The 25,076-nt window shown below is 48.0% G+C and overlaps 2 protein-coding genes across 8 annotated transcripts in view, besides 4 other annotated features; both read left to right on the top strand.

Moving 5' to 3' along the window:
* Positions 1 to 13,282, top strand: part of EARS2 (glutamyl-tRNA synthetase 2, mitochondrial) — a 36,622-nt gene extending 23,340 nt beyond the window's left edge. For 2 of the 5 annotated variants that reach the window (NR_003501.2, XR_001751841.1), the window contains exons 5-10: positions 1,271 to 1,379; positions 4,139 to 4,292; positions 4,404 to 4,534; positions 8,657 to 8,792; positions 9,582 to 10,525; positions 10,619 to 12,020. Coding sequence is in view for 3 of the 5 variants with exons in the window: in NM_001308211.1 (NP_001295140.1) it covers positions 1,271 to 1,379; positions 4,139 to 4,292; positions 4,404 to 4,534; positions 8,657 to 8,909 (647 nt within the window). In the remaining 2 variants the exon portion in view is untranslated. Of the gene's footprint in view, positions 1 to 1,270; positions 1,380 to 4,138; positions 4,293 to 4,403; positions 4,535 to 8,656; positions 9,017 to 9,581 lie in introns of those variants that run through there. The other 3 variants (NM_001083614.2, XM_011545738.2, NM_001308211.1) reach the window with 2 other exon arrangements.
* The window catches only part of GGA2 (golgi associated, gamma adaptin ear containing, ARF binding protein 2), a 60,818-nt gene continuing 45,418 nt past the window's right edge, over positions 9,677 to 25,076 (top strand). The window contains exons 1-2 of one of the 3 annotated variants that reach the window (XM_047433801.1): positions 9,677 to 12,243; positions 14,397 to 14,449. In XM_047433801.1, the coding sequence (XP_047289757.1) occupies positions 12,236 to 12,243; positions 14,397 to 14,449 (61 nt within the window). In that variant the 5' untranslated portion in view covers positions 9,677 to 12,235. Of the gene's footprint in view, positions 12,244 to 14,396; positions 14,450 to 23,541; positions 23,716 to 24,365; positions 24,739 to 25,076 lie in introns of those variants that run through there. The other 2 variants (NM_015044.4, XM_047433802.1) reach the window with 2 other exon arrangements.
* Positions 17,056 to 17,235: an enhancer, noted in NCBI's record as "active region_10582". NCBI's record gives its function as "activates an Ori minimal core promoter by ATAC-STARR-seq in GM12878 lymphoblastoid cells {active_cell/tissue: GM12878}" and the evidence as "EXISTENCE:reporter gene assay evidence [ECO:0000049][PMID:35858748]".
* Positions 23,266 to 23,315: a silencer, noted in NCBI's record as "silent region_7278". NCBI's record gives its function as "represses an Ori minimal core promoter by ATAC-STARR-seq in GM12878 lymphoblastoid cells {active_cell/tissue: GM12878}" and the evidence as "EXISTENCE:reporter gene assay evidence [ECO:0000049][PMID:35858748]".
* Positions 23,386 to 23,615: a silencer, noted in NCBI's record as "silent region_7277". NCBI's record gives its function as "represses an Ori minimal core promoter by ATAC-STARR-seq in GM12878 lymphoblastoid cells {active_cell/tissue: GM12878}" and the evidence as "EXISTENCE:reporter gene assay evidence [ECO:0000049][PMID:35858748]".
* Positions 23,686 to 23,855: a silencer, noted in NCBI's record as "silent region_7276". NCBI's record gives its function as "represses an Ori minimal core promoter by ATAC-STARR-seq in GM12878 lymphoblastoid cells {active_cell/tissue: GM12878}" and the evidence as "EXISTENCE:reporter gene assay evidence [ECO:0000049][PMID:35858748]".

Genomic DNA, 25,076 nt, shown 5'->3' with positions numbered 1-25,076 from the left:
CCCCCATTCTGGAGTGCAATGGCGCGATCTCGGCTCACCGCAACCTCCGTCTCCTGGGTTCAAGCGATTGTCCTGCCTCAGCCTCCCGAGTACCTGGGATTACAGGCACCCGCCACCACGCTTGGCTAATTTTTGTATTTTTAGTAGAGATGGGGTTTCACCATGTTGTCCAGGCTGTTCTCGAACTCCTGACCTCAGGTGATCCACCCGCCTTGGCCTCCCAAAGTACTGGGATTACAGGCGTGAGCCACCGTGCCTGGCCTGGTTCTTAACTCTTGATCGTGCTTTGGAATCAGCTAGGAAGCTTCTAAAATATGCTCAGACCCCAACCAAACCCAGTTGACTCAGAGTCTCTGGTACAGCCAGGCAATGGGCGTACTGTTCTGCAGCTCGTGTCTTGAGAGTAATGGAGATGGGTTTAGCCTGATTGTTTTCAGACCTTTTTTTCTTTAATGATGGAACCCTTTCTGAAAATGAAAGCTCATTCAGGCTCTTGATATATAAATAGCTAGAAGTTAAATCCCTTTGGGCAAAGTGGAATGGGGGGCCCAGGGCTTGCTCACTCAGCCTCCCTTATGTTTGAAAGTAGAAGGAGGGCGGGCACAGTGGCTCATGTCTGTAATCCCAGCACTTTGGGAGGCCAGTGCAGGAGGATCATTTAAGCCTGGGAGTTTGAGACCAACCTGGGCAATATAGTGAAACTCCATGTCTACAGAAAAATGTATGTATGTATGTGTGTATGATGTATTTATTTGATAGAGTCTCGCTCTGTTGCCCAGGCTGGAGTGCAACGGCACAATCTTAGCTCACTACAATCTCCGCCTCTCAGGTTCAAGTGATTTTCCTGCCTCAGCTTCCTGAGTAGCTGGGATTACAGGCATGCGCCACCACACCTGGCTAATTTTTGTATTTTTAGTAGAGATGGGTTTCACCATGTTTGCCAGGCCAGTCTCGAACTCCTGACCTCATGATCTGCCGACCTCTGCCTCCCAAAATGCTGGTATTACAGGTGTAAGCCACCATGCCTGGCTCTACAGAAAAATTTAAAAATTAGCCAGGTGCGGTAGTATGTGCCTGTAGTCCCAGCTACTTGGAAGACAGGCTGGAGGATTGCTTGAGCCTGGGAGTTTGAGGTTACAGTGAGCTAGGATTGTACCATTGCACTCCAACCTGGGCAGCAGAGCAAGATCCTGTCTCTTAAAAAAAAGAGATAAAGTGGAAGGAGGAAGGGAGAGAGGAAGCTGAGTGGCTGGGCCTCTCTTCTTTGCAGAGAACCAAATGGGCAGGACCCTGCCGGAGCTGATCACACAGTTCAACCTGACACAGGTCACCTGTCACTCAGCCCTGCTGGACCTGGAGAAGCTCCCAGAATTCAACAGGTGAGTGGGGAGCATGGAGATCCCCTGGTGGCAAAGGGCTTTCTTGCTTATGATGATCCCTACAGCAGAGGGTATAATGGGCTCTGGTACCTAATTCTGTGTGACCATGGCTAAATCACCTAGCCTCTTTGAGCCTCTGTTTTCTCTTCTCTAAAATGGGATTAATAACAGTACTGATCTTATATCCTTGTTCTATGAAAGTATCTTGTATTAAGTGTTGCATGAAAATATCTTGTATAGCCCTGGCACATACAAAGTGCTCAGTAAATGGTACGTATATTTTTATCATTAACATTATGTTCCTAGCCACCCCTTGCATGGACTCTGTTAACAACCAAAGCCTGGAGAGGTGTATCTTCATTTTAGACTCCCTCCCCACCCTCAGCCTTACATCCAGCCAACACAGTGAGTGAGCACTGTCTCATGGCATCTACTTTATATTTCATGTATTTGATATTGCAAGTAGCTCTTCACTTGGAAACCTCCAAATATCGTTCCAACTCAGATCATAGTTAACATGTCTGAGTCAAAGGGTATTAGTGTCGGCTGGGTGTGGCGGCTCACACCTTTAATTCTAGCACTTTGAGAGGCCAAGGTTGGCAGATCACCTGAGGTCAGGAGTTCGAGACCAGCCTGGCCAACATGGTGAAACCCTGTCTCTACTAAAAATACAAAAATTAGCTGGACATGGCACATGCTTGTAGTCCCGGCTACTTGGGAGGCTGAGGCACGAGGATCACTTGAACCTGGGAGGCAGAGGTTGCAGTGAGACAGGATCACACCACTGCACTCCAACCTGGGCAACAAAGTGATACTCTGTCTTTAAAAAAAGTTATTAGTGGTTTGCAAGACCATCAGCCAGGTGTGCACCTGGGGTGAGGGTCTTCCTGATACTTTGCCTAGAGCACTGGTTTGGGGACACAGTATCAGTGCATTTACTTGCATGAGCCCAGAGAATTAACATCAGTTGCAGATATTTTAGGGCTATTACTTTATTTACTTCTCCCATCAGACCTATGAGGTCAGTTGTATGATTTTGCCCTGTTTCACGTATGAGGAACCCAGGACATAGAGAGGTTAAGAAACTAGCCAAAGTGGCCAGGCATGGTGGCTCACACCTGTAATCCCAGCACTTTAGGAGGCCGAGGCAGGCAGATCACAAGGTCAGGAGATCGAGACCATCCTGGCGAACACAGTGAAACCCCGTCTCTACTAAAAATACAAAAAACTTAGCCGGGTGTGGTGGCGGGCACCTGTAGTCCCAGCTACTCAGGAGGCTGAGGCAGAAGAATGGTGTGAACCCAGGAGGCGGAGCTTGCAGTGAGCCGAGATCGCTCCACTGCACTCCAGCCTGGGTGACAGAACAAGACTCCGTCTCAAAAAAAAAAGAAAGAAACTAGCCAAAGTTCACACAGTAAACAGTGGGCATCTTTTGAATGGGGCATTCAAGAGTGGATGTAGGCTGGGCGCGGTGGCTCATGCCTGTAGTCGCAGCATTTTGGGAGGCTGAGGCAGGTGGATCTCCTGAGTCAGGAGTCGAGATCAGCCTGGCCAACATGGTGAAACCACATTTCTACTAAAAATAGAAAAAAAAAAAAAAATCAGCCCGACGTGGCGGGCGCCTGTAGTCTCAGCTACTCAGGAGGCTGAGACAGGAGAATCACTTAAACCTGGGAGGTGGAGGTTGCAGTGAGCCGAAATCACACCATTGCACTCCAGCCTGGGCAACAAGAGTGAAACTCCATCTCAAAAAAAAAAAATGCCTCTTTCTATATATTTTAGTGGCTGGGTCTCGCCCTGTCACCCAGGCTGGAGTGCAGTGGTGACATCTCGGTTCACTGCAGCCTCAGACTCCCAGGCTGAAGTGATCCTTCCCCCTCAGCCTCCAGACCAGCTGAGTCTATAGGTGTGTACCACCATGCCAGGCTAATTTTGTTACTTTAAATTTTTTTTGTAGAGATGGCATCTTACCATGTTGCTAGGTTGGTCTTAAACTCCTGGCCTCAAGTGATCCTCCCTTCTTGGCCTCCTAAAGTTCTGGGATTAAGTGAGCCACTGCACCTGGCCAAAAGCTTCTCCAGGTCCAGCAGGACTGAGTGGCAGGTGACCTGGGAAGCGGAGGTTGCAGTGAGCGGAGGTCGCACCACTGCACTCCAGCCTGGGTGACACAGTGAGGCTCCGTCTCAAAAATAAATAAATAAAAATAAAAGGTCAGCTACTATTTTGAAAACACTGAAAGCGTGGCTGGGCATGGTGGCCCACACCTGTAATCCTGGCACTTTGGGAGCCCAGCTGGGTGGATTGCTTGTTGTTGCCTAGCCTGGACAACATAGCAAGACCCTGTCTCTACAAAAAACTAAAAAATTAGCTGGGCATGGTGATGTGTGTCTGTGGGCCCAGCTACTTGGGAGGGTGAGATGGGAGGATCGCTTGAGCCTAGGAGGTCTAGGCTGTAGTGAGCCATGATCGTGGTACTGCACTCCAACCTGGGCAACAGAGCAAGACTCTCAAACAAAAACAAAAACCAAACCCCTGAAAAGAAAGCACGTCTCCGAGTTGCTTGGGACTTTCAGGCTGTTTGTGACCTTAGTCACATCCCTTTCTTTTTATAAACGTGAAGAGATTCTTCTAGCTTGCGAAAGGGAGGGCTCATGGGACCTGATATGTCATTCTTCCAACTTCACCCTTTCCCTGGGGGAGAGACGGTTTGGGTGGGTTGGGGTGTTGACAGCAGGGCAGCCCCTTGATTTCTTCCGCAGACTGCACCTCCAGCGGCTGGTGAGCAATGAGAGCCAGAGGCGCCAGCTGGTGGGGAAGCTGCAGGTCCTTGTGGAGGAGGCCTTTGGTTGCCAGCTGCAAAACAGGGATGTCCTCAACCCAGTCTACGTGGAGAGGATCCTCCTGCTGAGACAGGTGTGGTGTCAGGATTCTGGGAAGCTGAGGGAGGGGTTACTGGGTGCCTCAATTCCTCCTGCCTTCCAGAGCCCTGTCCCTAGTGCATTCAATGACTGCCTCCTTCCCCAGGGTCACATTTGCCGCCTGCAGGACTTGGTGTCCCCAGTATACTCTTACCTGTGGACTCGCCCTGCAGTAGGTCGAGCACAGCTGGACGCCATCTCGGAGAAGGTGGATGTGATTGCCAAGCGTGTGCTGGGGTGAGTACCCGCAGGCTGAGCTCAGGGTTCCACACCCTCCTTCCCTCTCTCTGTCCCATGGCTCTCTTTCCTTCAGGGCTGGGCTGTTGGGGCCCCAGCACAACTCCATGGCCAGTGAAGAAGTGACCCTTCACTGGCTTTCGCTGGTGAGGAGGGCTTACCCGGAGAACCCGGGCTTTCTCTGGACATAGGCATGTGTTCACTGCTTGCACCAACCTGGTTGCATCCCAGCTCTGCCGTGTACTCACCAGATTATGTCACCTTGCTCAGGCGGCTTCACTTTGGCCAAGTTACTGTACCTATTTGAGCTTCCTTTTCCTTCTCAGTGAGAGAGAGATGATGCTAATTCTTACTGTAACAGTAATAACTTTCAATTACAAACGCAACCAAAGCTGGCTTAGGCAAGAGGGGAATAATTGCTTATGTAACTGTAGATGCTAGAAGAAGGGCTGCTTGAGGCACAGCTTAATGCAGGAGTCGGTACTCCATTACCAAGATTCGCTTTCGCTCTCTGCCTTTCCCCTTCTGCCCCTACTCGCCGATGCTGACCACTTTTCCTGCAGAGGCTGTGTATCAGGTAACTAGAGGGCAAGACTCTCTACCAGACAAAAGAAATGACAGCGCATGTCCTTTGTGGAAGTACATTTCTCCATTATGTAGCAATCTGCAGGAAGCAGCTCAGGGCTCATCCTCCCACCTCAGCCTCTTTAGAAACTGGGACTACAGGCACAAGCCACCACGCCCAACTAATTTTTTTATTTTTTGTAGAGACAAGGTCTTGCCATGTTGCCCAGGCTGGTCTCAAACTCCTAGGCTCAAGCAATCTTCACACCTCAGCCTCACAGAGTGCTGGGATTACAGGCGTGAGCCATAGTGCCTGGCCAGGGCCTATTAGTTCTAATTCACCAGGATTCAGTGTCGTAACTGCCTGTCTCCACCATGAGGTTGGGTTTTAGATTTGCTCTGGGACTCCCTCTCGAGTCAGGAAAGCTGATACCCAAATGTTCAGGAGCTGCCAGATCACTAGAAATCCTTTCTGTGCCTATGCCATGGTTCTTAACTCTGGGCCAGCTCTAGCAGGTCTGGAACTGCCATTGTTCCCGGCCTGGGGCCTGTCATTGTTTCATCAGCTCCTCGGCAGCCTGCTTCCCTGCAGTGCCATTGGGGAGAGTGTCTGCTTTTTTCCCACATTATATTTTTTGTCTTCAGTATTTCATCTCCTGATTTTTGTAAATAGCAGTACTCATGTGACCCAGTTAATAATTGTCTCAGTCCATGGGGTTGCTATAGCAAAATAACATAGACTGGTGGCTTCAACAACAGACATTTATTTCTCACAGATCTAGAGGCTAGAACTCCAGGGTCAAGGTGCCGCCGATTCAGTGTCTGGTGAGAGCCTTGTTCCTGGGCCCTTCCCTTTTCCAGCCCTTCGCTGCATCCTCACGTGGTGGAGGGACGAGGGACTCTCTGGGGTGTCTTTTATAAAGGCACTCATCTGTGCATAAGGGCTCGGCCTGCATGACCTGTTCACCTCCCAAAGCCCACACCTGTGAATACTGTCCCCTTGGGGGTTAAAATTTCAACATATGAATTTAGGGGAACACAAACATTCCGAACATAGAGATGATGCAGTAAGAACGATCATCCTTTGCTGGGCGCGGTGACTCACGCCTGTAATCCCAGCACTTTGTGAGGCCCAGGCGGGCCGATCACGAGGTCAGGAGATCAAGACCATCCTGGCTAACACGGTGAAACCCCGTCTCTACTAAAAATACAAAAATTTAGCCGGGTGTGGTGGTGGGCGCCTGTAGTCCCAGCTACTCGGAAGGCTGAGGCAGGAGAATGGCGTGAATCCGGGAGGCGGAGCTTGCAGTGAGCTGAGGTTGCACCACTGGACTCCAGCCTGGGCGACAGAGCAAGACTCTGTCTCAAAAAAAAAAAAAAAAAAAAAGAACGATCACTCTTGTCTGAAATTGAAACTCATCTGCTTCAGTGCTGACAGTTAGTAAGGAGATCTGTCTGCACTGAAAGGCTGCTTCTTCAAATCACTTATGAACCCAGTTCCCTGAGACAGTAGTGGTCCATACTGAGTTGACTTTGGAATGCAGTTGCCTGGACCATGTTTGAGCAGGCAGGGTCAGAACTGACATCACAGACCATCTGCACCAGAAAGATGTCCAGCCCCAGTTCCTCTTCAGTGTTTCCATGTTGGAATCTCCAGTAATAACTGAAGGGAGGCTGGACACTGTGGCTTGTACCTGTAATCCCAGTATTCTGGGAGGGTGAATGGGGAGGATCACTTGAAGCCAGGAGTTTGAGACCAGCCTGGGCAACATAGCTTGACCCCATCTCTACAAAAGGTAAAAATAAAATTAGCCAGGCATCGTGGTGGGTGCCTGTGGTCCAAGCTGCTCAGGCAGCTGAGGTGGGAGGATCGTTTGAGCCCAGGAGTTTGAGGCTGCAGTGAGCTGTGATTGCACCACTGCATTCCAGCCTAGGTGACAGAGCAAGATCCTGTCTTAAAAAAAAAATAATTAATTATTTTTAAAAACTGAGAGGAACTGGAAAGTTGCAGTGAAATATACTCATCCCCAGCCTATTCCCATCTCTTGACTAACTCAATCAGGGCCGAGGCAAATTTTTGTTAAGTCCACCTCTAACTGAATGGAGAATTTCTCCTGAAACAAAAGCTTTTGGGCAGAGCATCTTGCTCAGCTGGACTGCCAGGATGTGGGGGTTGGTTGCTGGCCCGCTGGAATCCTAGAGGCTTCAATTTGTGGAAGAATGGCCATAGCAAGTTGGTGGCAGAGCCATTGCTGGAGCTGGGTGGGGTCTTCTGATTTCTTCTCTTCTTGGCTACGTCTCCAAAGAAGTCTCTCTCTACCAATCTTAAAGCTGTATTTCAGATAATTTCCCAGAAATTATCCATTCTATGTCAAATCTATTCCTAAGTTTCTTTTTTGTTGTGCCTGCAAGCAGAACTGTTTCTTTTTAGATCCTTTTGTAATGTCTCAAAGCTCTTGATTGTACTTAACTAATTTTTAAAAATTTTAAATTCAAATACGAAATGTAATACTTGGCCGGGCATGGTGGCTCACGCCTATAATCCTGCCTATAATCCCAGCACTTTGGGAGGCCAAGGTGAGTGGATCACCTGAGGTCAGGTGTTTGAGACCGGCCTGATCAACATGGTAAAACCCTGTCTCTACTAAAAATACAAAATTAGCTGGGCGTGGTGGCACGTGCCTGTAATCCCAGCTACTCAGGAGGCTAAGGCAGGAGAATCGCTTGAACCTGGAACGTGGAGGTTGCAGTGAGCTGAGATCGTGCCATTGCACTCCAGCCTGGGCAACAGAGCGAGACTCCATCTCCAAAAAAAAAAAAAAAAAAAGGTAATATTTCTGAGTATTTATCATGTGTTCAGGCACTTGGTGCTTTATAAGTTTTAACTCTCTACGATAGCCTTGTGCAGGACAGATACTATTATTTTTTTTTTTTTATTTTGAAACAAAGTCTCGCTCTGTCACCCAGGCTGGAGTGCAATGGTGCAATCTCGGCTCACTGCAACCTCCTCCTCCCAGGTTCAAGCAATTCTTCTGCCTCAGCCTCCTGAGTAGCTGGGACTACAGGCACCCGCCACCATCCCTGGCTAATATTTTTGTATTTTTAGTAGAGATGGGGTTTTACCATGTTGGCCAGGTTGGTCTCGAACACCTGACCTCAAGTGATCTGCCTGCCTTGGCCTCCCAAAGTGCTGGGATTACAGGTGTGAGCCACTGCGCCAGCCTCAGATACTATTATTCTCCCCACTTTACAAATGAGAAAACTGAGGCATAAAGATTGCATGACACAGAGGTAGCAATGAGTAAAGCCTCTTATGGCACCTCTTACCTCCCTGCATTGTGACCACTGGCTTCTCTGTGTGTGGTCCCTTGGTGGTTTTTCCTTCCCGACCTGGATAAGGGAGAAAGTGGTCAATATCTTCCTCACCTCCCTCAAAACAGGCTTGAACATTGGTTGTGCTGCTCGTACTGTAGCTGATCAATAACCTTCTGAAGCCCTTCCTCCCACCCACTTGCCATTGGCCCATGCAGGCCCTGTAAACTGGCCCTCTTCTTCTAGGCTTCTAGAAAGATCTAGTATGAGCTTAACTCAGGATATGCTGAATGGAGAACTGAAGAAGCTATCAGAAGGTCTGGAAGGCACCAAGTACAGTAATGTGATGAAACTCCTTCGGATGGCCCTCAGTGGACAGCAGGTGAGGCAGGGACACGGGTTGGATTGTTCCCTGGAGCCCCTCATTGATCCTTTGAACTTACATTTCCTGGCAGGCACTGAGCTCAATATTGAGTATACAAAGGTGAATGAAACATGATCACTCCCCTCATTTAGTCAATCAACAGACACTATTGAGTACCTACTATGTGCAAGCATTGTGTTAGGTACAGTGAATACAATATAGAATTAAACACACATACATAATCTCTGCCTCCATGGGGTTTGCAGTTTATTGGGGATAACAGACCTAGCAACAGCTTACTTAATATGGGAAAATCAGGCCAGGCACGGTGGCTCACACCTGTATTCCCAGCACTTTGGGAGGCCTAGGCAGGTGGATCACCTGAGGTCAGGAGTTTGAGACCAGCCTGGGCAACATGGTGAAACCTTGTCTCTACTAAAAATACAAAAATTAGCTGGGGGTGGTGGTGCGCCTGTAATCCCAGCTACTTGGGAGGGTGAGGCACGAGAATTGCCTGAACCTGGGAGGCAGAGGTTGCAGTGAGCCAAGATCGCACCGTTGTATTCCAGCCTGGGTGATAGAGTGAGACTCTATCTCAAAAAAAAAAAAAAAAAAGGGCGGTGGTTGGAGGAGAAACAGGCTCTTAGGACCCATCCTTTTCCAGGGAAATAACACAAGCACTGATCCTCAGAACACAGGCAGCAGTGTGGGGGCTGGCCTGGGAATAATTTCTGCAGACTAAGGCTGAGCTTCAGTTCTTTAGGCTGTTTAAGGTAGTAAGGCAATATTTGCTCTTTTTGTTCTTAGCAAGGACCTCCTGTAGCTGAGATGATGTTGGCCTTGGGACCAAAGGAAGTACGGGAACGGATCCAGAAGGTGGTTTCCAGCTAGGGAGAGGATGTTTCGGGCAGTGGAGATCGCCCTAAGAACCTGTGAGCTTAGAAACAGCTTTCAGAGACCAGAAGGAGGCCTGGGGCCCGTCGGGAAGTTTGCTGAAGGAACTAAGAGTGGAAACAATCTCTGACTGCACACAAGTGCATTTGTGATCCACCACAGGCACGTTTTTGTCAATTGGCTGGGGAAGCCCAACCCATCTAACCTCCTGGACTCTGGAAAGGCATTCTCCGGGTCTGGTTTCTCACACATTACACAGCAGAGGTTTGGAGTTAGTTCACAGAAAAGTTAACATCCCGGAACAGTGCAGAAGGCTTGGGTTTCAGTTTGCTAGGGCCCCCATAACAAAATGCCACAGAACCAGGTGGTTTAAACAACAGAGATTTATTTTCTCACATTTGGAGGCTAGAAGTTCAAGATCAAGGTGTCAGCAGGCCTGGTTTTTCCTAGAGGCCTCTTTTGTTGGCTTGCAGACAGCTGTCTTCTCACTGTGTCCTTGTGCGGTCTTCCCTCCATGCACACACATCTCTAAGTTTCATTATGTGCCCAACGTTCCTCTTCTAAGAACACCAGTTGGACTGGATTTTAACTTTAACCAGCCTCATTTAAGTTAATCACCTCTTTAAATGCTCAATCTCCAAGTACAGTCTCATTCTGAGGTTCCAGGGGTTTCTCAACGTAAGAATTTAGGGGGACAGAATTCAGCCCGTAGCAGCTGGGCAGCAGGACTCATGGGTCCCAGTTCTCAGGCCCCAAGGACTCAGAGCAGCAAAGGATACGTGACACAAGCAGGGCTGAACTGGACACCAGACTTTCTTTGGGGTTGTAAAAGGAGAAGTGTGACTCCACTGCCAAGGGTAAGCACTCTTGTCTTATGCTACCCTTTATTCTTGAACCTTGGGGCAGCCTGTGTCTCCCTTCCCTAAACGTCATCTGTTCCGTTTTTCCAGTCTTCCAGACCTGGTCCTTGGACTGGAGACCTTCACCCTTCCTATTTTGTGGCTTTCTCTTCAAATCCACCTCGTCCTTCCTCCATGACTTATAAGTCATCATCTCTGCTGGTTTCTGAAATGAGATATGCTTCTTGGGGTCTTCAGTGAAGAGGAATAGCAAGTGAAAGGAGGATGGTGGCAGGGTACATGAACCCCTACCAGGCTTCTAGGCTTCCCCTGCATGGCAGCCAGCCTCTAAGTTGGCCCCCAACCATCCCTGCCTTCTTCTATTCACACCCTTGTGTGGTTCCTTCCCACATTGAATAGGCCTGACTTGTGTAACCACTACACTATTGAAGAAATGAGAGTTTGACTTCTGAGGGTAAGTCATAAAATACATCGTGGCTTCTGTCTTGTTTTCTTTGATCGCTTACTTTGGGGGAAGCCAGCTTCCAGGTCATGAAAATACTCAAGCAGCCTTATGGAGTGCTCCACATGACAAGGGATCGAGGCCTCCCACCAATAGCCATGGGAGTGTGCAATCTTGAAAGCTGGTCCTTCAATTCCAGCCAAGCATTCACATGACCGCAATCCTAGCTGATCTCGCTTGTGACCTCTATGGGAGACCCTAAGCCAGAACCACTCAGAGAAGCTGCTCCGGAACGTCAGACACACATGAACTGTGAGATAGTAAACGTTTATTGTTTAAAGCTACTTGGTTTGGGGATAATTTGCGTTTCAGCAGTAGACAATATATTTATTTTGTCCAGGGGAGTGGAAAGGCGATTACAGAGTTTGTTGAGCCCCATAGAGTCCTAGTCTTTGCTTAAAGAAATATACCAGTTCTTTCTAATACAGAATCCATTAAGTTCGTTGGTTGCAAACAATAGAAACCAACTCTGCCTCACTTATGTTTATTGGAGGCCATAAGAGAGCCACAGCATCTACCAAAAAGCCAAAAAAAAAACAGGTTTTGGAAAAGACAGGAACTAGCTACAGGAGCTAATGGCCAATCTTGTCTGAGTTCTTTGATGGCGACACATGAACTACAGCCGTTTTGTTGTTGTTAATTTCTCCGTGTTTTCCCCTCAGTTTTGGATGACTCTGCTCAAGGTTCAGATTCTGAGGAGCAAGTATCTGTTGGGCTATCTGAGGTCCTGCTACCATTCCTTGGCCAGTAATAGGTAGTTTCACAGGGATTATATGCAATGGAGGAAAAGTTGTTCTCAAGGAAAACTAGGGAGCTTTCTCCAGAAGATGATGTAATGGCAGAAACAACAGGTGGTTGACCACAGAAGGGGACAATAATAATACTTGTAATTTATTGTGCGCTTATATGAGCCTCACCCTCTCCCAGGTGTCAGATAATGCTCGTAAATGCCTTAGTCCATCATCTCAGTAAATTTTTTTTATAACACTATGAGAGAAGCAGTATTTTTTTTTTCTGTTACAGATATGGAAACCGAGGTTCTGAAAAGTTAACTAAAACTTCCGAGGTTATAGTACGAGGCAAAACCAAGATTTAAACTCAGATCTGTGCCGATCCAGAGTCCAAGCTTAACTCTGATCTACTGAGTGTTGTCAGAGCATCTGTTTCTAAGACATTAAGAATGGTTAAAAGGAGCTTCTTGGCTCATGGTCAAGTGAGTGTTTTTAACAAAGTGAGTGGTCAAAATACTAAGTCGATTCTGGTATATCTACAACATGGATGAACCTCTAGGACTTCATGCTAAATGAAATGTCAGTCACAAAAGGACAAATACGTCCTAATGCTTTGTGAGGCAAAGGTGGTAGGCTTGTCAAAGGCCAGGAGTTTGGAGACCAGCCTGGGCAACATAGTGAGATCCTGTCTCTACAAAAAATTTAAAAATTAGCCAGGTGAGGTGACATATGCCTGTAGTCCCAGCTACTTGGGAGACTAAGGTAGGAGGATCACTTGAGCTGAGGCGTTAAGGCTGCAGTGAGCTATGAATGCACTACTGCACTCTAACCTGGGCAACAGAGCAAGATCCTGTGTCTAAAAAAAAAAAAATGAATAAAATAAAGTTAAAAGGATAGATACTGTAAGATTCTACTTATTTGAATTACTTAAAATAATCAAAATTATACAGGCAGAAAATAAGATGGTGGTTGTCAGACTTGGGGAGGCAGAAATGGGAAGTTACTGTTTAGGGTATAGAGTTTCAGTTTTGCAAGATGTAGTTACAGGGGTCAATGGTGGTGATAATTGCACAACATTATAAAGATACGTAATGCCGCTGAACTGTATATTTAAAAATGACTGAGATGGTAAATTTTATATTTTTCTGTATTTTACCACAGTTTTTAAAAAATACTAAATTAGAGCTGGGCCTGGTGGCTCACACCTAGAATCCCAACATTTTGGGAGGCCAAGGCAGGCAGATCACTTGAGGCCGGGAGTTCAAGACCAGCCTGGCCAACATGGTGAAACCCCATCTCTACTAAAAGTACAAAAATTAGCCAGGTGTGGTGGTACATACCTATAATCCCAGCTACTTGGGTGGCTGAGGCACAGGAATTACTTGAACCCCCACAGAACGGGAGGTTGCAGTGAGCCAAGATCACACCATTGTACTCCAGCCTGGGGAACAGAGCGACACTCTGTCTCAACAAGAAATTAATAAAAAAGCGAAATTAATAAAGCTGTTGCTACTTCCTCAAGTGAAGTGTGCTGTGCTATCTTGAAAGCAGCTCCAGACGTCTGTCTTCTGTTTGAGGGTTTTGCTCAGGATCAGTAAGACTTTTTTTTTTTTTTTTAAGAGGATGTTGCTCTGTTGCCTGCCCAGACTGGAGTGCAGTGGCACAATTATATTTCACTGTAGCTCTAACTCCTGGGCTCAAGAGATCCTCCTATCTCAGCCTCTTGAGTAGCTGGAATCACAGGTGCATGCCACCACACCTGGCTAAGTAAAAGTGTTTGAAGGAATTTCATACATTTTAAATAACCTCAAGCCCATCCCCAGTGTTTTGAGGGTATAGTGCAGCAGTGAAGGGCACAGAGGCTGTCTAGATTCAGAAACATTCTGCCCCTTATTCACATGTGACTTTCTGTACCTCAATTTTCTTGTTTGTAAAATAGGAATAAGAATTGTACCCATCTCAAAGAGTTGTAAGGATTGGAATAGATAACATATACGAAGTTCTTTTTTTTTTTTTTTTTTGAGACGTAGTTTCACTCTTGTTGCCCAGGCTGGCATGCAATGGCGTGATCTTGGCTCACTGAAACCTCCACTTCCCGGGTTCAAGTGGTTTTCCTGCCTCAGCCTCCCAAGTAGCTGGGATTACAGGCATGTGCCATGTGCCGCCATAGCCAGCTAATTTTGTATTTTTAGTAGAGACGGGGTTTCTCCATGTGGATCAGGCTGGTCTCAAACTGCCGACCTCAGGTGATCCGCCTGCCTCGGCCTCCCAAAGGGCTGGGATTACAGGCATGAGCCACCACGCCTGGCAACATATATGAAGTTCTTAGAACATTACATGGCATTTAATAAATGTTAGGTAACTATCACCATTATTTTCATCCTTAGAAACAGTGATCTTGGTGGCAATGCATAGAAACACACTCAGACTAACTGAAACCATGAAAGGAATTTATTGGAAGAATTAGGACTCTCACAGATCTAAAGGGCAGGACTTCCAACTGGACCTCACAAAAGAATGGAATCTGTACCTAGAAACCTGTTGGGACCAAAGGCAGCCACTCGGCCCTCTGAGATGGCACAGTTTCTAACATTCACCCCTCTGTGTGTCTGCTCCCCTTGTTTTCCCTCTGCAGGCTGCCTTTCTCTTTATCTCTGCAGTTGGCCAACAGCTGCCCTAGCCCTGAAGGTAAATCATCTCTCTTCTCCTACATCACCAATTAAATAACCAATATTCCACATACAAACTCGCAGGGGAGAATCTGATTGGCCTAGCCTGGGTCAGGTGTCTACCCCTGGTCCAATCAGCTGTGGTCAATGGGAGTCATATTCTATGATCATGGCTGCAGGTGGCTCACTTTAGTGTGTGGGAAACCAGTTCCTTCCCCTGAGCGTGTTCTTTTTCGGTGTTGTTTAGAGAGTATCTTTTCCAGGGCTGGGCACGGCGGCTCATGCATGTAATCCCAGCACATTGGGAGGCCAAGGCCAGTGGATCACTTGAGCCTAGGAGTTCGAGACCAACCTAGAAAACATGGTGAAACCCTGTTTCTACAAAAAATGCAAAGATTAGTGGTGTGTAGTGATGCACACCTGTAATCCCAGCTACTGGCGTGGCTGAGGTGGGAGGATCACCTGAGCCCAGGGAGGTGGAGGCTGCAGTGAGCCAGGATAGTGCCACTGTACTCCAGCCAGGGTGACAGAGCAAGACTGTCTCAAAAAAAAAAAAAAAAAAAAGACAGTATCCGTTCTAGAAAATTACATTTTTATAGCCAAATTTGGAATCCCATTCATACTGCCTTTATCCTACTTTATTTTTGCCTTCATAGTACTTTTTACTATATGAAATTATATATTTGTACATATTTACTCTCTTACTCAAAAGAATATGAGATTATGGCAGGAAGTCTGTCTTTTTGTATAACCATAGCACCTGGCACGTTGCCAGATACATAGTAAGGGTCAAGATCTCATGATGAAAAAGTGTTTGAGGACTATGTTAGTAAGATCAGTTTCTTCAGAAATGGCACTCATCAGCTGGTCTAACTGCCAGACTCTTAACAGTTACCAGTATCACTTCCATTTAAGCGGGGAAGTCTTTCCTCTTTTGCAAGATTTGCCAGTATAATTAGCAGTCCAGTCTGTTGCTTGTAATTTGCATTGAATCCAGCTGTCTGGGAGAAACTACCTTTGACAAAGCTTGGAAGTGAAGGCTGGGGACAGATGACTGACATGTGTTTAGTGGGGACTAAAATTAGAAGTTGTTGGCTGGGTGTGGTGGCTTACTCCTGTAGTCCCAGCACTTTGGGAGGCCAATGGGGGAGGATTGCTTGAGCACAGGCGTTTAAGACCAGCCTGGGCAACATGGTGAAACCCCCCCATCTTTACAAAAAAATACAGAAATTAGCTGAGCATTGTGGTGAGCACTTGTGGTCCCAGCTACTTGAGAGGCTGAGGTGGGAGGATAGCTGGAGCCCAGGAAGTCGAGGCAGCAGTGAGCTGTGTCTGTGTCACTGTACTCCATCCCTGGTGACAGAGTGAGATTCTGTCTCAAAAAATATAAATGTCAGCCAGGCGTGGTGGCTCATGCCTGTAATCCTAGCACTTTGGGAGGTGAAGTCAGGTGGATCATGAGGTCAGGAGTTTGGGACCAGCCTGACCAACATGGTGAAATGCCGTCTCTACTAAAAATACAAAAATTAGCCAGGCATGGTGGTGCGCACCTGTAATCCCAGCTACTTAGGAGGCTGAGGCAGGAGAATCGCTTGAATCCGGGAGGCAGAGGTTGCAGTGAGCCGAGATCACAACACTGCACTCCAGCCTGGGTGACAGACTCCATCTCAAAAAATAAAAATAAATAAGTAAATAAATAAATAAATAGGCCAGGCGCGGTGGCTCATGCCTGTAATCCCAGCATTTTGGGAGGCCGAGGCAGGCAGATCACGAGGTTAGGAAATCGAGACCATCCTGGCTAACACAGTGAAACCCTGTCTCTACTAAAAACACAAAAAATTAGCTAGGTGTGGTGGCATGCACCTCAGGGGTTCTGAGGGATGAGTAGGAGTTTCCCAGGTAGATGGGTGTTGGAAGGCTATTCCAAGGAGAGGGATGAAAAATAAAGCTTCACAAAGTTGTTCAGGACTGGACCAAGAGTAGGAGTCAGGGGAGAGGTAGAAGTGGCTGCTGAGAAACCAGGCAGATGTGAGATCCAAATAATAAAACCCAGATTCAATAGAAAAAAATTAGCTGGGGCCGGGCGCGGTGGCTCACGCCTGTAATCCCAGCACTTTGGGAGGCCGAGGCGGGCGGATCACGAGGTCAGGAGATCGAGACCATCCCGGCTAAAACGGTGAAACCCCGTCTCTACTAAAAATACAAAAAATTAGCCGGGCGTAGTGGCAGGCGCCTGTAGTCCCAGCTACTTGGGAGGCTGAGGCAGGAGAATGGCGTGAACCCGGGAGGCGGAGCTTGCAGTGAGCCGAGATCCCGCCACTGCACTCCAGCCTGGGCGACAGAGCGAGACTCCGTCTCAAAAAAAAAAAAAAAAGAAAAAAATTAGCTGGGCATGGTGGCATGTGCCTATAGTCCCACCTACTAGGGAGGCTGAGGCAGGAGGATCACTTGAGCCCAGGAAGTCAAGGCTGCAGTGAGCTGTGATTGCACCACTGCACTCCAGCCTAGGCAAGAGAGCAATAAATCTTAAATAAGATTTATTATCGTACTTAGCAGGAAGTTCATTGGTAAGGTGGGCTGCAGGGTTGGTTAATTACACGTGTGGTGACATCAGTGAGGACCCAGGGTCCTTCTCTCTCTCCACCCTCCTGGCCACAGCATCTGCAGCAGCCACAGTTGGCTGCCTGCAGCAGTCAGGCCTCTGCACTTCCTCCTTCATGTCAGCTGGGGAGAGGGTGGCTTTCTATGGCTGTCTCCCAACAGCAAGGAAACTCCTAAGTACCCTCCCTCTACTCAACTTCCAAATTTTTAGCCATCCCTGCTGGGGAAGTGAGGGTCTCCATAAATCAGTCAGATCCAGAGCTGGAGATGAAGGGAGTCTGCGTGTCCCTGAGGTGCATGGCCAGGTGGGGAGTGGCAGGCACCTCAGCAAAGTTAGGGTTCAATTAATGAAGGCAAGGAGTTGGGTCTTCATAAGGAGGGAGGTGCAGAGCCAGTGAAATGTTTTAGGCAGGGAAATGACATGAGCAGATTGTGGTTTTTGAAAGGTCACTCTGGCAACTATGCCAAGGAGAGACTTAAGCAGGAGCAGATGGAAGGAAGGAGCCCCAGTAGGAGAAGATTGGAAAATGAGGCACAGAAAAGGGCTATTTTCACGATAAAGCCATGTTCTCTCATCACAGCCTCTAAGGGCCTAGGTTAGGGTTCTCCAGAGAAACAGACCCAACAGGATATATATCTAGGAAGAGAGATTTATTATTAGATAGTGCCTCACCAAATTATAGAAGCTGAAAAGGCCGAGTGTGGTGGCTCATGCCTGTAATCCCAGCACTTTGGGAAGCCGAGGCAAGAGGATTGCTTGAACCCAGGAGTTCGAGACCAGTCTGGGCAACATAGTAAGACCCCATCTTTACAAAAAATAGAAAAAAAAATTGGCCGGGCATGGTGGCGTGTGCCTGTAGTCCCACCTATTAGGGAGGCTGAGGCGGGAGGATCACTTGAGCCCAGGCAGTTGAGGCTGCAGTGGGCTGTGATTGTACCACTGCTCTCCAGCCTGGGCAACAGAGCAAGACCCTGTCTCAAAAAAAAAAAAAATAGGTCAGAGGTGATGGCTTATGCCTGTAATTGTAATCCCAGCACTGTGGGAGGCTGAGGTGGAAGGATACTTGAACCCAGGAGTTGGAGGCTGCAAGTGACCTATGATTGTGCCACTGCACTCCAGCCTGGGCAACAGAGCTAGACTCTGTCTGTAGAAAAAATAAAAATTGATAGATAAGCTGAAAAGTCATCTGATCTGCTTGTGTAAGCTGGAGACCCAGGAAAGCCAGTGGTGTAGTTGAAGGGCCTGAAAGCTGGAGAGCCAGTAGTGTAGATTCCAATCCAAACCTGAATGCCTGAAATCCAGGAGTACCAAGGACAGAAGATTGGTATTTCAGCTTAAGCTGTGTGTTAGTCTGTCATTGTGTTGCTGTAAAGAAATATCGGAGGCTGGGTAATTTATTTTTAATTTTAATTTTTTTTTTTTTTTTTTTTGCAGGCTGGAGTGCAGTGGTGCAATCTCAGCTCACTGAAGCCTCCACCTCCTGGGTTCACACGATTCTCCGGTCTCAGCCTCCTGAGTAGCTGGGATTACAGGCACACACCACCATGCCCAGCTAATTTTTGTATTTTTAGTAGAGAAGGGGTTTTGTCATGTTGGCCAGGCTGATCTTGAACTCCTGACCTCATATAATCCATCTGCCTTGGCCTCCCAAAGTGCTGGGATTACAGGCGTGAGCCACCATGCCTGGCCTTTTAATATTTTTTGGTTTTGTAGAGATGGTTGTCATTATGTTGCCCAGGCTGATCTTGAACCCCTGGGCTCAAGCAATCTTCCTATCTGAGCCTCCCAAGTAGCTGAGACTACAGGGACTTGCACCACCACACCCAGCTGATACATATTTATATATATATATATTATCTCTTTTAGATTAAGGAAAAAAAAAACCCCATGAAATAGGCACTTATCTTATTTCTTAGATGAAAACAACATAGTTCTAATCACAATGCCTGCACACCCAACCACTACATTAAACTCCTCAACCACTTCCTACCCACTTAGCCTTTATCCTTTCTGTTGTGGTCTCCAGACCATCAGCATCAATGTCAGATGGAGATCTATTACAAAGACAAATTCTGGGGCCTCATTCCAGACGTACTAGATCTGAAACTGTGTGGCGGGGCCCTGCAATTTGCAACAAACCTGATTCTGACACATGCTAGTTTGAAAACCATTGATCTAGATGTTGTGGGACATCTATACCTTACATCTTTCCTCACCTCTCCAAAGGGTCATGGCCAACACTCCTATAACAAAAAGACGGGTTAAGACCAGGTATGGTGGCTTATGCCTGTAGTCCCAGCACTTTGGGAGGATTGCTTGAGCCCAGGAGTTTGAGACCAGCCTGGGCAACATGGTGAGACCTTATCTCTACAAAACTAAATAAATTAGCTGGGAGCGGTGGTGTGTGTGCCTGTTATCCCAGCTACTCTCTGAGGACTGAGGTTGCGAAGATCATTTGAGCCTGGGAGGTCAAGGCTGCAGTGAGCTCTGGTGGTGCCACGGAACTCCAGCCTGGTTGACAGAGCAAGACCCTGTCTCAAAAAAAAAAGGCTAACAAGAGAAAAGCATAACAGATTTATTTAATTAAAGTTTTACAGGCCGGGCACAGTGGCTTACTCTTGTAATCCCAGCATTTTGGAAGGCTGAGGTGGGCGGATCATTTGAGGTCAGCAGTTCAAGACCAGCTTGGCCAACATGGTGAAATCCCGTGTCTACAAAAAAATTCCAAAATTAGCCAGGCATGGTGGCGGGGTGCCTGTATTCCCAGCTACTCGGGAGACTGAGGCAAGAGAATCAATTGAACCTGGGAGGCAGAGGTTGCAGTGAGCCAAGATCGAGCCACTGCACTCCAGCCTGGGCGACAGGACTTCATCAAAAAAAGTTTCATCAAAAAAAAAAAAGTTTTATGTTGACATGGGAGCTTTCAGAAATAAAGACCGAGGGAAGGCTGTCTACTTTTATATTTAGGTTTGATGACCAACAGCCAGGTAGAAATAGGATTGAACAAAATGGTATGAGTGATCTATTAGACTTAGGTGGGGGGATCCAGCAAGGCCTGTCCAAATTCTTCTTGGCTTACCTGTATATCACTCCTTCTTCCTAGGTATAGGGCAGGAATAAGGGGGCATGACCACCTGTTATCAGACAAAGTAGCTCAGATAATTGCTTTTTTTTTCTTTTCTTTTCTTTTCTTTTTTTCTTTCTTTTTTTTTTTTTTTTTGAGACAGAGTCTCATTCCGTGCCCAGGCTGGAGTGCAGTGGTGTGATCTCGGCTCACTGCAACCTCCGCCTCCCAGGCTCAAGTGGTCCTCCTGCCTCAGCCTCCTGAGTAGCTGGGACTACAAGTACACACCAGCACACCCAGCTAATTTTTGTATTTTTTTGTAGACACGCGGTTTCACCATGTTGCCCAGGCTAGTCTTGAACACCTGGACCCAAGTGATCTGCACGCCTCAGCCTCCCAAAGTGCTGGGATTACAGGTGTGAGCCACCATGCCCGACTGAGAATTTCTTTATGGCCAACTCTTAAGCAGAAATAAAGGAAGGCTGGAGTAATATGTCTAGGTTTTGTGGCTGGCTTTAGGGGAGAGGGGTTTGAGTTTCCCTGACCCATCTTGGGAAAGAGGAATTGAGTTTCTGTGGCTTGCCTTGGGAGAAGAAAGACGGGCAGGAGGTCAGAGAACCTTTGCTCTGAGGCTGCTTCTGAGGGTTTCCACTGTCTTTGAGTTCAAAGTACTCGCTATGCCAAAACACCATGCTCTGGGATATGGTTTTCTGAGCTCCAACAATGTAAAAATGTTAAAGGATTGCAGGTGCTTAAAATAAGTAAAGTTTCAGGAGTTGAAGGATGGTCCTTGGCAAACTGTAGAGCTCATGCCCCCTGTAGCATGTGGAGACTCTAGTCACGTCCAGGTTTTGTTGAAATGTGGAAAGCCGGGTCCAGTGTTGCCAGATGTTCAGAATCTTCAAGAGATAAATATGTATTAAAGATTTTATTTAGGCCAGGTGCAGTGGTTCACGCCTGTAATTCCGACACTTTGGGAGGCCGAGGTGGGCGGATCACCTGAGGTTAGGAGTTCGAGAGCAGCCTGGCCAACCTGGTGAAACGCTGTCTCTACTAAAGATACCAAAATTAGCCGGGTGTGGTGGTGGGCGCCTGTATTCCCAGCTGCTCAGGAGGCTGAGGCAGGGGAATCACTTGAACCCAGGAGGCAGAGGTTGCAGTGAACTGAGATTGCACCATTGCACTCCAGCCTGGGCAACAGAGCGAGACTCAAAAAAAAAAAAAAAAAAAAAAAAAAAAGATTTTCTTTAACTCCTTAATGAGGAAACTGGTGAGATGTTCAAACCAGTCCAAAGAATGGACATCATGTATAGATCAGGAATGTTGAAATGGATGTGCAAGTGGGGGCAGAACTGGTTTTTCCACAAGAAGTCTGTGTGTTCCCAGAACAGTATTCATTTGCTTGTGTGTGGACAAGAATCATCACCCATTGCTATTCAGTTATCTACAAGGAAGAATTTGTGCTTCTGTATGGCATACGTACCTATGGTCTAAGAAGAATGTGTGTTCTGAGTTCCAAGCTACAGAATCACAGAGTGGCCAGCCCAGAGGTTCACTCTTTATCTAAGAGGAACATCTGAACCCTTGGCCCCATCCTGTGGAACGCAGGCCATACGGGGGATCAAGGCCCTTTGGGGTTAAATTGAGGTTGCCAGATGGAGGTTGCTAGGGGAAGGGTGCTAGTTGAAAATACTATATAAACTGATGCTCTTTACAAATGGTAGTGGTCCTCCTGTCCAGCCCACTGCCACTAGACCACCCCGTAAGTCCCCTCAGTAAACCTGCCTCATTCAGTGGCTCTGGGTCTCTTCTTCCGCCTTTCAAACATGGTGCCATCCCTACTGAAGTTAATAGGGGTACGGCACAACAGCTTCAATGGAAAATTATGTGTTGTCTAGACAGCACAACCTTCCAGGTTCTAGCCTTTCTTTGTCTTTGAGAAGTCTCATAACTCTGTTAAGTTGATACCAATGCAAAATAATTCTTGCCTATAAATAGGTAAATTCCGCTCACTGGAGGGACAGCTCTCACCCCGGTCGAAAAGCCAGTTTTGCCTCCATTTGCACATTCGTCTTATCTTCCTTTTTTTCCAGATAAATTTGCCCTTCTTTGACTTCACTTTTGGATTGATTATAACATCTGCTTGGTTCCCTCATGTAATTAAATAAAATATTTAACACGTATTCATTTCATAATTATGATAATCATGACATACTTTTTTGGGAAAATTATCTTTTAACAGAATAAGCAAGTAAATAATACATCGATGGTGTACTGTGTGATGCAGAAAATAAAGCAGAGTATTGAGGAATGCAGGACATGTTAGTTTAGAAGTGTTCCAGGAAACCAGGGAGGTGGAGGTTGCAATGAGCCGAGATAGCACCACTGCACTCCAGCCTGGGCGACAGAGCGAGACTCCATCTGAAAAAAAAAAAAAGTGTTCCAGGAAAACCCTTCTGTGAATAAAAATGCAAGCACATAGGCCGGGCGTGGTGGCTCACCCCTGTAATCCCAGCACTTTGGGAGGGCGAAGCGGGCAGATCACGAGGTCAGGAGTTCGAGACCAGCCTGGCCAACATAGTGAACCCTCGTTTCTACTAAAAATACAAAAAAAAAAAAAATAGCTGGGTGTGGTGGCATGCACCTGTAGTCCCAGCTACTCGGGACGCTGAGGCAGGAGAATCGCTTGAACCCAGGAAGTGGAGGTTGCAGTGAGCCGAGATGGCACCCCTGCACTCCAGCCTAGGCGACAGAGTGAGACTCCGTCTCAAAAAAAGAAAAAAAGAAAAATAAAAAATAAATGCAAGCACTTTGGGAAGTCGAGGTAAGAGGATCTTGTAGCCCAGGAGTTCGAGACCACCCGGGCAACATGGTGAAACCCAGTCTCTAACACACACACACACACACACACACACACACACACGGTGAAACCCAGTCTCTAACACCAGGAGTTCGAGACCACCCGGGCAACATGGTGAAACCCAGTCTCTAACACACACACACACACACACACACACACACACACACACACACGGTGAAACCCAGTCTCTAACACACACACACACACACGCCAGGCGTGGTGGTGCCCTCCCCTAGTCCCAGCTCCTCCGGAGACTGAAGCGGGAGGATCGCTTGAGCCTAGGAGGTGGAGGCTGCAGTGAGCCGTGATCGCGCCATTGGACTCCAGCCTGAGTGACAGAGCAAGACCCCGTCTCTTAAAAAATAAAAATGCTAAAAGAATTATTCGTGTTCTTCTGAAAATCAAATTTAACTGGGCGTCTTGTATTTTATCTGGCAACCGTACGGTGAGTGGTCTTAGAAGACCAGCGCTGGGTGGAGGGATCTGGACTAAGAAATGTTCCGGCCGGTCCCGCGTGGAGGGGGGGCCTGGGGTGGGCGTGGCGCCAGCGGCCCCGCCCCGTCACGTGTCCACCGCTCCTGCCGCGCAGTCAGCAGAGGAGAGCGCCAGGACGCTACAGCGGCTGAAGAGGCAGTGGCGCCCGCGGCCGCAGCGTCGGGGCTGGAGCGATGGCGGCGACCGCGGTGGCGGCGGCTGTGGCGGGAACCGAGTCGGCCCAGGGTCCCCCGGGCCCGGCAGCGTCGCTGGAGCTGTGGCTCAGTGAGTAGCCTGGCAGGCCTTCGGCGCAGCCGCTGCGCCGCACGTGAGGCCTCGCTTCCCGCCTCCCGGGGCCTTGCTTCGGGGCGGGCGGCCGCAGGGGAGGCCGGCGGCCGGGTAGGGGGCCTGGGCCCGGCGCGGTGGGGAAGATCGCCCAGGGGTCCCCCGAGAGGAGCCCCAAGCATCCGCCGGGGCAGCGGCCCCCTTCTGAGCTCTGCCCCTCCCCCTCCGCCCACCCCCCAACTTAGCAGCAGCACAGGACCCCGACCCCCACCCCAATGGCTACGTGACCTGCGCTTTCCCCTGCGCCAGGCACTGTGCTCACAGCGGCTTAGTCCTGCTTAATCCTCATTCCCACCCCGAGCTGGCTTCTATTATTAACCCCACTACGGAAGCGGGGACCTTGAGGCTTAAGGAGACGCAGTCGTGCAAGACATGCAGTCTGTTTGGGGCTGAGAAAGATCTCTATCTGGCTACCGCGTCAAAAAGAAATTTTTTACCTTTTGTGTTTACTTTGGCCAGACTTTTTTTTTTAAACACACACACACGTGTGTGTGTGTGTGCGTATATATATATATGTGTGTTTTTTTTTTCCTTTAAGAGACGGGGTCTCATTATGTTACCCTGGTTGGGCTCAAACCCTTTGGCCAGAATTCTTCTGCATGTCTCCTGTAAGCTTCACAGTCATCTTAGGGGTTATTATTATCTCCGTTTTACCAATGAGGGATTGAGGTTCAAAGGGGATAAAGAATATTCCCCTTGTACCCAGCTCTGCTAGGTGCCAGGAACACTGAGATGCATAACACAGGGTCCTTGCTCACCAAAACATTTTTTAGTGGGTACAAGCCGGCAGTCACATCACCTTACTAACGGGATTGGCGAGGAGGAGGAGGGCGTTCGTTTCACCTGTGGTGGTAGGAGTTGGTTTACCTGGGGGTCGTCACAGCCGACCGCATTCCAGGCAGAAGAAACTGCGTGTGCAAAAGCTGGGGACAAGAGAATGTGGAGCACTCCGGGAACAAGTAGGTCAGTCCGCTGGAGTGCAAGCCTAAAGCTCAGGAATCCGGGAAAGGGGCTGCACGGCTAATTGGGGCGAGATCTTCAAGAGCCTTGTGTGCTGCAGAAAGGAGTTTATGTTTTATCCGAGGGCGGGGTTGCTGTTTGGGAGTTTTCAGCCGGAGAATCTGATCAAGGAAGCCTGTTAAAGGCGTCACTTGCAGCCATATGGTGCTAAATTGGGCGGAGAGGGTGAGACTTCAGGCAGGGAGAGCGGCTAAAAAGCTCTTTTGGTGGTGGTTGGGGGCCGCAGGAGGACTAAGGCAGTGGGGAGAGGGAGAAGCAATGAGCAGGCGTAGTCAGCAGCC

Source organism: Homo sapiens, chromosome 16 (assembly GCF_000001405.40).
Source record: "Homo sapiens chromosome 16, GRCh38.p14 Primary Assembly".
NCBI lineage: Eukaryota > Metazoa > Chordata > Mammalia > Primates > Hominidae > Homo > Homo sapiens.
This window is presented reverse-complemented; position numbering and strand designations above follow the sequence as displayed.